Source organism: Homo sapiens, chromosome 19 (assembly GCF_000001405.40).
Source record: "Homo sapiens chromosome 19, GRCh38.p14 Primary Assembly".
NCBI lineage: Eukaryota > Metazoa > Chordata > Mammalia > Primates > Hominidae > Homo > Homo sapiens.
Genome location: NC_000019.10, coordinates 11,742,609 through 11,754,991, shown reverse-complemented (window position 1 = coordinate 11,754,991; position 12,383 = coordinate 11,742,609).

Sequence of the window (12,383 nt, the reverse complement as noted above, 5' to 3'; positions counted from 1 at the left end):
TTGGCTTGCTTGGGAACTGTCACCACTTCCTCCTTTCATATTTCTCTTCTTTGAAATAGAAGTGTTTTCCTAAGCCTGTCTCAACACTAGGGCACACAACCGGTTTGTTTTCTAAGGCTCACATTTGGAAAAGAATGTTGCCTCAGGATGAATGTTACCTCAACTCTCACCCATATCTGATTCAGATGATATTTAATGGAGTTTGAGTTTAGGCTTTACACCTAATCGTGGACTGACTCAAGACTTTCGATGCTGTTGAAATGAAATAAATGTATTTTGCATGTAGGGATATAAATTTGGGGAGGCAGGGTAGAAAATTATTGAGTTTGTCTCCTGAAATTCAAGTGTTGAAGCCTTACTTCCTAATGTATGGAATGAAGATATGGGATCTCAGGGAGGTAGTTAGAATTAGATGAGATCATGAGGGTAGTCCCTTATGAATGGGCTTATAAGATTCCCTAGGTAGCTTTCTTTTGCTCTTCACCATATGAGAACTCAATGAGATGACAGCCTTGCTTGTACCATGAAGCAGACCCTTATCAGGCACTGAATCTGCCATTACGTTGACCTTGGACTTACTTAATAATTTCTTGTACAGTGAGAATTAAAAGTTGGTGGGTTAATACCCTCAATACTTGGTATTTTATTTCAGCAGCCCATGCTGGGTAAAATACAATTACGTTGAAAAATATGTTAGGGAATTGAATAGACATTCCTCTAATGAAGCATACAAAAGGTGATAATCACATAAAGATGTTCAACATCTCTCTCTCATGGTTAGGGAAATGCAAATCAAAACAGCAATGACATCCACACACCCTCACCTTCATTATTTTGCTACTACCTAAGAACAACAAAATAACAAATGCTGGCAACTATGTGAATTAATCAAAACTCTTGTATGAGGCTGGGTGCAGTGGCTCACGCCTATAATCCCAGCACTTTGGGAGGCTGAGGCAGGTGGATCACGAGGTCAGGAGATCAAGACCATCCTGGCTAACACGGTGAAACCCTGTCTCTACTAAAAATACAAAAAATTAGCTGGGCATGGTGGCGGGTGCCTGTGATCCCAGCTACTCAGGAGGCTGAGGCAGGAGAATGGCGTGAACCCGGGAGGTGGAGCTTGCAGTGAGCCGAGATCGCACCACTGCACTCCAGCCTGAGTGACAGAGTGAGACTGTCTCGAAAAAAAAAAAAAAAGAATCAAGCAGGAATCTTGAGCTGAAAAATGCAATTGACATATTGAAGAATGTATCATAGCATCTTAACAGCAGAATGAATCAAGCAGAAGAAAGAATTAGTGAGCTTGAAGATAGGCTATTTGAAAATACTGTCAGAGGAGACAAAAGAAAGAATAAAAAAGAATTAAGCACACCTATGAGATCTAGGAAACAGCCTCAAAAAGGCAAATCTAGGAGTTATTAGCCTTAAAGAGGAGGGTGAGAAAGAGATAGGGGTAGAAAGTTTATTCAAAGATTTAATGACAGAGAGCTTTCCAAACCTAGAGAAAGATATCAATATCCAAGTACAAGAAGGTTGTAGAACACTAAGCAGTTTTAACCCAAGGAAGACTACCTCAAGGCATCTAATAATCAAACTCCCAAAGGTCAAGTATAAAGAAAGGATCCTAAAAGCATCAAGAGAAAAGAAACAAATAAAACACAATGGAATTCCAATGTCTGGCAGAAGACTTTTTAAGGGAAACCTTACAGGCCAGGAGACAGTGGCATGGCCATATTTTAAATGTGCTGAAGAAAAAAACTTCTACCCTAAAGTAGTATATCTGGTGAAAATGGCCTTCAAACATGAAGGTGAAACAAAGGCTTTCCAAGACAAACAAAAGCTAAGGGATTTCATGAACACCAGACTATCCCACCAGAAATACTAAAGGGAGTTTTTCTGTTAGAAAGAAAAGGATGTTAATGAGCAATAAGAAATCCTCTGAAGGTAGAAAAAAGTCTCTGGTAGTAGTAAGTACATAGAAAAACACAAAATATTAATATTATAATACTGTAATTGTGGTGTGTGTCCTAATCTTAAGTAGAAAAACTAAAAGATGAATCACTCAAAAAATAATAACTATAATTTTTAAGACATGGGCAGTACAGTAGATATAAATAGAAACAACAAAAAGTTTTAAAGTGTGGGACAGTGTAGAGTTTTCATGAGTTTTCTTTTCTCTTGTTTGTTTATACAATCACTGTTAAGTTGTCATCAGTTTAAAATAATGGGTTCTAAGATAGTGTTTGCAAGCCTCATGGTAACCTTAAATTTTAAAAAAGGTACAACAGATACATAAAAAACAAAAAGCAAGAAATTAAATTCTACCATTAGAAAAAAATTACCTTCACAAAAAGGAAGACAGGAAAAAATGAAAGAAGGAAGAGAAGACCAGAAAACGAATGAAAAAATGGCGGGATTAAGTCCATCCTTACCAAAAATAACATTGAATGTAAATGGACTAAACTCTCCAATAAAAAGACATAGACTGGCTAAATGAATAAAAAAGCAAAATCCAATGATCTGTTGCCTACAAGAAACATGCCTCACCTGTAAAGACACATATAGACTGCAAATCAAGTAGTGGAAAAAGATAGATATGACATGCCAATGGAAACAAAAAAAGACCAGGAGTAGATATACTTATATCAGATAAAATAGATTTCCAGACAAAAACTATAATGAGACAAAGAAGGTCACTATATAATGATAAAGGGATCAATTTATCAAGAGGATATAACAATTTTAAATACATATGCACCCAACACTGGCGCACCCAGATATATAAGGGAAATATTATTAGAGCTAAAGAGAGAGATAAACACCAATACAATAATAGTGGAGACTTCAACTCCCCACTTTCAATATTGGACAGATCTTCTAGACAGAAAACCCACAAAGAAACATCAGAATTAGTCTGCACTGTAGACCAAATGGACCTAATAGATGTTTACAGAACATTTCATCAAATGGCTGCAGAATACACATTATTTCCCTCAGCATATGGATTATTCTAAAAAAATAGACCATATGTTAGGTCAAAAAACAAGTCTTAAAACATTCAAAAAATTAAAATAGTATCAAGCATCTTCTCTGGCCACAATGCAATAAAACTAAAAATCAATAATGAGGCATTTTGGAGACTAGACAAATAAATGGAAATTAAGAATATGCTCCTGAATGACCAGTGAGTCAAAAAAGACTTTAAGAAGAAAATTTGAAAACTTTCTAGAAAAAAATCCTAATGGAAACACAACATACCAAAACCTATGAGATATGGCAAAAGCAGTACTGACAGAGAAGTTTATAGCTATAAGTTTATAAACTATAAGTCAAAAAAGTGAAACTGCAAATAAACAAAATGCATCTTAACAAACTAGAAAAGCAAGAGCAAACCAAATCCAATATCAGTAGAACAAAATAAATAATAAATATCAGAGCAGAAATAAATGAAATTGAAATGAAAACAGCACAAAAGATCAATAAAACAAAATGTTAGTTTTTTGAAACATTAAACAAAATTGACAAACTTTTAGACACACTAAGAAAAAAGAGAGAAGATCCAAATAAATAAAATAAGATATGGAAAAGGAGACATTACAACTGATACCACAGAAATTCAAAGGATCATTAGTGGCTACTATAGCAACTATATGCCAATAAATTGGAAAATCTAGAAGAAATGAACAAATTCCTAGACACATACTACCTACCAAGATTGAACCATGAAGAAACCCAAAACCTGAACAAACCAATAACAAGTAATGAGATTGAAGCTGTAATAAAAATTCTCCCAGGAAAAAAAAAAAGGCCAGAACCCAGTGGCTTCACTGGTGAATTCTACCAAACATTTAAAGAAGAACTAATACCAGTCCTACTCAAACTCCAAAAAAAATAGAGAAGGAAATTCTTCCAAACCCATTCTACAAGGCCAGTATTACTCTGACACCAAAACTAGAAAAAACATCAGAAAAAGAAACTACAGGTCAATATCTCTGATCAGATTGATGCAAAAATCCTCAATAAAATACTAGCAAACTGAATTCTACAATACATGAAAAAGATTATTCATCATGACCAAGTGGGATTTATCCTTGGGATGCAAGGTTGGTTTGACATACTTAAATCAATCAACAGAATACATCATATCAGTAGAATGAAGGACAAAAAACAAATAATCATTTCAATTAATACTGAAAAAGCATTTGATAAAATTAAACATCCCTTAATGATAAAAGCCCTCAAAAAATTGGGTTTAGAAGGAACATATATCAACATAATAAAAGCCATATATGACAGACCCACAGCTAATATCATACTGAATGGGGAAAAAATTGAGTCTTCTCTAAGATCTAGAACATGACAAAGATGCCACTTTCATTGCTGTTATTCAACAAAGTACTGAAAGTCCTAGCTGGAGCAGATAATAAGAAAGACAGAAAGAAAGAAATTAAGGGCATCCAAATTGCAAAGGAAGAAATCCAATTATCTTTGTTTGCAGATGATATGTTCTTTTATTTGGAAAAACCCAAAGACTATAAAAAACTATTAGAGCTGTGAACAAATTTAGTAAAGTTGTGGGATAAAAAAATCAACATACAAAAGTCAGTAGCATTTCTGTATGCCAACAGAGAACAATCTGAAAAAGAAATCCAAAGAGTAATCCCATTTATAATAGCCACAGATAAAATTAAATACCTAGGAATGAACTTAACCAAAGAAGTGATAGATCTCTATAATGAAAACTATAAAAACATTGATGAAAGAAATTGAAGAGGACACCAAAAAAATGCAAAGATATTCCATGTTCATGGATTGGAAAAATCAATATTTTTAAGATGTTCATACTACCCAAAGCAATCTACAGACTCAGTGCAATCCCTATCAAAATACCAAGGACAATTTTCACAGAAATAGAAAAAAAAATTCTAAAATTTATATGGGACCATAAAAGACCCAGAATAGCAAATGTCATCCTAAGTGAAACGAATAAAACTGGAGGAATTACATCACGTGACTTCAAATTATACTACAGAGCTATAGTAATCCAAACAGCATGGTACTGGCATAAAAATAGACACATAGATCATTGGAACAGAATAGAGAATCCAGAAACAAATCTACACACTCACAGTGAACTCATTTTTGACAAAGGTGCCAAAAACATACACTGTGGAAAAGACAGTTTTTTCAATAAATGGTGCTGTGGAAACTGGATATTTATATACAGAAGAATGAAACTAGACCCCTACCTTTCACCACACACAAAAATAAAATCAAAATGGATTAAAGACTTATATCTAAGACCTCAAACTAGGAAACTACTACAAGAAAACAATGAGGAAACTCTCCAAGACACAGGTCTGAGAAAAGATTTCTTGAGTAATACCTGATGAGCACAGGCAACCAAAGCAAAAATGAACAAATGGGATTACATCAAGTTAAAAATCTTCTGCACAGTAAAGGAAACAATCCACAAAGTGAAGAAACAATACACAGATTGGGAGAAAATATTTGCAAAGTACTCATCTGTTAAGAGATTAATAACCACATCATATAAGAAATTCAAACAGTTCTATAGGAAAAAATCTAATAATCCAATAAAAAATGGGACAAACATTTGAATAGCCTTTTTTTTTTTTTTTTTTTTTTTTGGGATGGAGTCTTGCTGTGTCACCCAGGCTGGAGTGCAGTGGCGCAGTCTCAGCTCACTGCAACCTCTGCCTTTCAGGTTCAAGCAATTCTCCTGCCTCAGTCTCCCAAGTAGCTGGGACTACAGGCGCAAGCCACCATGCCTGGCTAATTTTTGTATTTTTAGTAGAGGTTTCACTATATTGGTCAGGCTGGTCTTGAACTCCTGACCTCAGGTGATCCACCCGCTTAGGCCTCCCAAAGTGCTAGGATTACAGGTGTGAGCCACCACACCCAGCCTGACATTTTCTTTTTTTTTTTTTTTTGGAGACAGAGTCTCGCTCTGTCACCCAGGCTGGAGTGCAGTGGTGGGATCCCGGCTCACTGCAAGCTCTGCCTCCCAGGTTCATGCCATTCTCCTGCCTCAGCCTCCCAAGTAGCTGGGACTACAGGCGCCTGCCACTGCGCCCGGCTAATTTTTTTTTTTTAATTTTTAGTAGAGACGGGGTTTCACTGCGGTCTCAATCTCCTGACCTCATGATCTGCCCGCCTCGGCCTCCCCAAGTGCTGGGATTACAGGCATGACCCACTGCACCCGGCCCAGCCTGACATTTTCAAAAGAAGACATACAAATGGTAAACAGGCATATGAAAAGGTGCTCAACAACATTGATCTTCAGAGAAATCCAAATCAAAACTACAGTGTGATATCATCTCACTCCAGTTAAAATGGCTTATATTCAAAAGACAAGCAATAACAAATGATGGAGAGGAGGTAGAAAAAGGGAACCATCATGGACTGTTGGTGGGAATGTAAATTAGTACAACCACTATGGAGAACATTTTTGAGGTTCCTCAAAAAATGAAAAATAGAGCTACTATATGATCCAGCAATCCCACTGTTGGGTATATACCCAAAAGAAAGGAAATCAGTATATTCAAGAGACATCTACACTCTCATGTTTGTTGCAGCACTGTTCACAATAGCTAGTATTTGGAACCTAAGTGTCCATAAACAGATAAATGGATAAAGAAAATACGCTACACATACACAATGGAGTATTATTCAGCCATAAAAAATAAGGCTGCTCTACCTATGGAGTAGCCATTGTTTTATTCCTTCACTTTCTTAATAAATTTATTTTCCCTTAAAAAAACAGAATGAGATCCTGTCATTTGCAACAAATGGATGTGACTGGAGATCATTATGTTAAATGAAATAAGCCAGGCACAAAAATACAAACATTGCATATTCTCACTCATCTGTGGATCTAAAATTCACAACAATTGAACTCATGGAGATAGAAAGTAGAAGGATGGTTACTACAGGCTGGGAAGACTAGTGGGGTGGTGATGGAGAGGTGGGGACAGTTAATGGGCACAAAAATAGAAAGATTAAATAATACCTACTGTTTGATAACATAACAGGATGATTATAGTTAACAATAATCTAGTTATGCACTTAAAATAATTAACAGCATAAAATTGGATTGTTTGTAAGCCAAAAGATAAATGCTTCCCCCATTTTTTCCCATGCTTTCCCCCAACTTTTTTTTCTTTTACAAATTCAGTGATCTTTTATTCTAAAAATAGACAGTAGTAAAAACTTCTTTGTATTTACTCAAGTAGTTAGCATTTCTGATGCTTTTCATTCTTCACAGATTTCCATCTGGTAACATTTTTCTTCTGCTCTGGGAATTCAATTGACAATCAGCAAGTATGCTGATTACAAACACTTTTAGCATGACTGAGTAAAGTATTTATTTTCTCTTTGTTTGGAAAGATATTTGCTGAATATAGAATTCTTGGTTGACATATTTGTTTTTTTAGTTTCTTAAAAATTTTTCTCTGGTCTTCTGGTTTGGACTGTTTCTGATGATAAGTATGTAATCAGTCTTTGTGTCTCTATAGTTAAGGTGTCGTTTTTCTCCAGTTTTAAAATTTTTTCATTATCTCTGACTTTCAGCAGTTTGATGATGATGTGTCTTGGTGTAGATTTTTTTCATACATTTTGTGCTTGTGGTTTGTTGAGCTTCTTGTATTTCAAGGTTTATAGTTTTCATCCAATTTGGAAAATGTGTGGCTGATTTTTTTTTTTTTTTTTGAGACAGCATCTCATTCTGTCACCCAGGCTGGAGTGCAGTGGCACAATCTCAGCTCACTGGCAACCTCCACAACCCAGGTTTAGGAGATTATCATGCCTCAGCCTCTGGAGTAGCTGGAATTACAGGCATGCGCCACCACACCTGGCTAATTTTTGTATTTTTTAGTAGAGATGGGGTTTCACCGTGTTGGCCAGGCTGGTCTCGAACTCCTGGCCTTAAGTGATCTGTTCGCCTTGGCCTCCCAAAGTGCAGTGAGCCACTGCACCTGGCCATGGCTGATATATTTTTAACAAAAATTTTTATTCTATGTTTCCTCCTGCCTTTTTAGGAGTCCTTGTAGTTGTCCCATCACACAACTGATTGTTGACAGTCTGATTTTTTTTTTTTTTGAGACAGAGTTTCGTCTTGTTGCCCAGGCTGGAGTGCAATGGCGTGATCTCAGCTCACTGCAACCTCCACCTCCTGGGTTCAAGCAATTCTTCTGCCTCAGCCTCCCAAATAGCTGGGATTACAGGCACGTGCCACCACACCCAGCTAATTTTGTATTTTTAGTAGAGACGGGGTTTCACCATGTCAGTCAGGCTGGTCTTGAACTCCTGACCTCAGGTGATCCACCTGCTTTGGCCTCCCAAAGTTCTGGGATTACAGGCGTGAGCCACACCCGGCCTCTGATCATTTTTTAAAAGTTACATGTTGGCCAGGTGCGGTGGTTCACGCCTGTAATCCCAGCACTTTGGGAGCCCGAGGCAGGTGGATCATGAGGCCAAGAATTCAAGACCAGCCTGGCCAAGATGGTGAAACCCTGTCTCTACCAAAAATACAAAAATTAGCCAGGTGTGGTGGTGGGCACCTGTAATTCCAGTTACTCAGGAGGCTGAGGCAGAGAACTGCTTGAACCTGGAAGGCGGAGGGTGCAGTGAGCCAAGATCACGCCACTGCACTCCAGCCTGGCGACAGAGTGAGACTCTGTCTCAAAAAAAAAGGTTACTTGTAGCTGTGTAGTCACCACCACACAGCTCACTGATGTTCTGTTCATATTTTTTGGTCATTTTTTTGATTGGTGTTTCATTTTAAATACTTTCTACTGCTATTCTCTCTCTCTCTGGTTTTTTTTTTTTTTTTAAGTTGTGGTCTTGCTCTCTCACCCAGGCTGGTATGCAGTGATGTGATCATGCTCACTGAAGCATCAAATTCCTGGGCTCAGGTGATCCTCCCACTTCAGCCTTCAAGTTGCTGGGACAACAGGCATGCACCACCACACTGTACTAAGTTTTAAAATTTATTTAGAGACAAGGTCTCACTATGTGGCCCAGGCAGGTCTTGAACTCCTGGCCTGAAGGGATCCTCCCACACCATCCTCCCAAGTAGCTGGAATTACAGAAATGAACCACCATATGTGGCTTCAGCCAGTGTATTATTATTATTTTATTATTATTCTCTTTAGAGGTGAGGTCTGGCTATGTTGCCACAGTTGGATTTTAATTCCTAAGTTCAAGTGATCTTGCCACCTCAGACTCCAGAGTAGCTACAGGTAGATACCAATATGCACAGTCCTATCCAGTGTATGTTTTTATCCCAGATATAGTTACGTTCATCTCTAATAACTGGAATTGTGTCTTGTCTTTCATTTATAAATTGTGTTGAAGTAACACATACTAACATAAAATTTGCCATTGAAATGTTTTTTTTTTTTTTTGAGGAGGAGTCTCACTCTGTAGCCAGGCTGGAGTGCAGTGGCGCGACCTCAACTTACTGCAACCTCTGCCTCCCAGGTTCAAGAGATTCTCCTGCCTCAGCCTCCTGAGTAGCTGGGATTACAGGCACCCACCACCACGCCCGGCTAATTTTTGTATTTTTAGTAGAGACGGGGTTTCACCATGTTGGCCAGGATGGTCTCGATCTCCTGACCTCATGATCTGCCCGCCTTGGCCTCCCAAAGTGCTGGGATTGCAGGTGTGAGCAACCGCGTGTGCAATTCAGTAGCACTAAATACATTTATGACTCAGTGTGACCACTGCAGCTATCTCCAGAACTTTTCATCACTCCACATAGAAACTCATCACCCAGTAAATAAAAGAACTCCTCATTCCACCTTATTGTCAGGCCCTGATAATCTCTCTTCTACTTTTTTGCTCCATGAATTTGACTATTCTAGGTATTCTAAGTAAAAGCCTACAATATTTGTCCTTCTGTGTCTGACTTATTTCACTTAGCAAAATGTTTTCAAGGTTCTTCCATGCAGCAGAATGTACCAGTGATTCAGTTTTTTATGCCTGAACATTCTATTTTATGGGTAAACCACACTTTGCTTCTTCACTCATAGGCTGATGAACGTATGGGTTATATCCACAATACTGTTTTGGGAATTGTGAATAAGGCTGCCATGAAATTGGGTTACGTGTGTCCATGTGTGTTTCTGATTTCTATTTATTTGGGTGTATACTTAGGAGTTGAATGGCTGGGTTACAGAGAAATTCTAAGTTCACCTTTGTCAGGAATACTTATCCTGTTTTACACAGTGGCTGCAGTATTTAACATTCTCCCCAGCAATGCAAAAGAGTTGCCATTTCTTCCGTCTTCTCCCACATTGGCTGTATAATAGCCATGCTAATGGGTGTGAATTGGAATTTCATTGTGGTTTTGATTTGCATTTCCTTAACGATCAATGATGGTGACCATCATTTCATGTACATAATTGTCATTTATATAACTTCTTTGAACAACTTTGTTTATTTATTTATTTTCCTTTTTGAGACGGAGTTTCGCTCTTATTGCCCAGGCTGGAGTTCAATGGCATGATCTCGGCTCACCGCAACCTCCGCTTCCCAGGTTCAAGCGATTCTCCTGCCTCAGCTTCCTGAGTAGCTGGGATTACAGGCATGCGCCACCACGCCTGGATAATTTTTGTATTTTTAGTAGAGATGGGGTTTCTCCATGTTGGTCAGGCTGGTCTCGAACTCCCGACCTCAGGTGATCCGCCTGCCTCAGCCTCCCAAAGTGCTGGGATTACAGGCGTGAGCCACGGTGCCTGGCCAAACAACTTTATTTCAAGTCCTTTGTTTATTTTGAGTCAGGTCATTTTGTTTGTTTGTTTGTTTTTATCTATATTTTGTGATGCCATTTATTTCTGGAGCCTGGGAATTGGCTCTGACGATCTTCCTTGGTGGTTACCTGTAGAAATGGTCTTCCAATTGTCCTTGAAATGCTGATACATGTCAAGTTTGACATGGCTTACATGAATTCATAGCTCTTATATATAAAACATGGTTCTTATTTTGAATGACAATGGCTCTTATTTTGATGGCAGGCAGGGGTACATCATAATGTTCCACCCAGCAAAGTGTCAGCTCATATTTTCTTCTTCTGGCCATTGATATCCTGTGTTCTGACAGATATTACCCTAAAGCCCCTCTTGCCCTGTATGTTTAGATTTTTACATTTGCCCTGATGATTAAGGATGGTGTAAAATTTTAATAAGTCCTCCATAGTTTTTGGAAGAATGTGTTTTATATCAGCTATAAAATTACTTCCATGGGGTACAGTGGCTCACGCCTGTAATCCCAGCACTTTGGGAGGCCAAGGCGGGAGGATCACGAGGTCAGGAGATCGAGACCATCCTGGCTAACACGGTGAAACCCCGTCTCTACTAAAAATACAAAAATTAGCCGAGCGTGGTGGCGGGCACCTGTAGTCCCAGCTACTCTGGAGGCTGAGGCAGGAGAATGGCGTGAACCCAGGAGACGGAGCTTGCAGTGAGCCGAGATTGTGCCACTGCACTCAAGCCTAGGTGACAGAGCGAGACTCCATCTCAAAAAAAAAAATAAAAAATAAAATAATAATAATAATAATAATAATAATAATAATTACTTCCATGGTCTGATTCAGCCTACAAAGGCATGCCAAAATGAGAAATAATTTCAGTTATTAATTACTTCACCATTCATACATGAGCATGTGTAGCTGTACAGCACTGAGCCCATCCATTAAACATGCAGACAACCACCAAACAATGGGAATGGCCTCAAGCTGGAGAGAAGCTAATCCATCTGGAATATTGTGAGGGGCAGCATGGGCATTGGAGGATTCTCTGAGGTATGTTGGTTTCATCCAGCAATTGGGCAAGTTTACAAGCAGCACACTGGGAAATAATTGGGTCAGATATTTTGTGCATGCCAAGGCAGACAGAGCCAGTTGCCTTTTAGACTATTAAGTATCCATCATTTGCGTCCATGTCCAATCCAGTGGAAGATTAGCACAAGGCAGAACATCAAAAGAAAGGAGCTACAGTGTGATTGGCCTAACGTATAATCTGTGCAATAGTTGTCTCCCCTTTGTACCTATTGATGTTTTTCCGATTATTGAGCTTTTACTTGATAACATAAATCAAGGCTAAAGGCAGGTTTGTGAATTCAGCGGAGATAAGGTGCCATTTTTGGCTTCCTGTTTAGCAGTCTTTTTTTGTTTTGTTTTGTTTTGTTTTTGAGATGGAGTTTCGCTCTTATTGCCCAGGCTGGAGTGCAATGTTGAGATCTCAGCTCACTGCATCCTCCACCTCCCAGGTTCAAGTGATTCTCCTGCCTCAGCCTCCCAAGTAGCTGGGATTACAGGCATGCGCCACCATGCCGGCTCATTTTGTATTTTTGGTAGA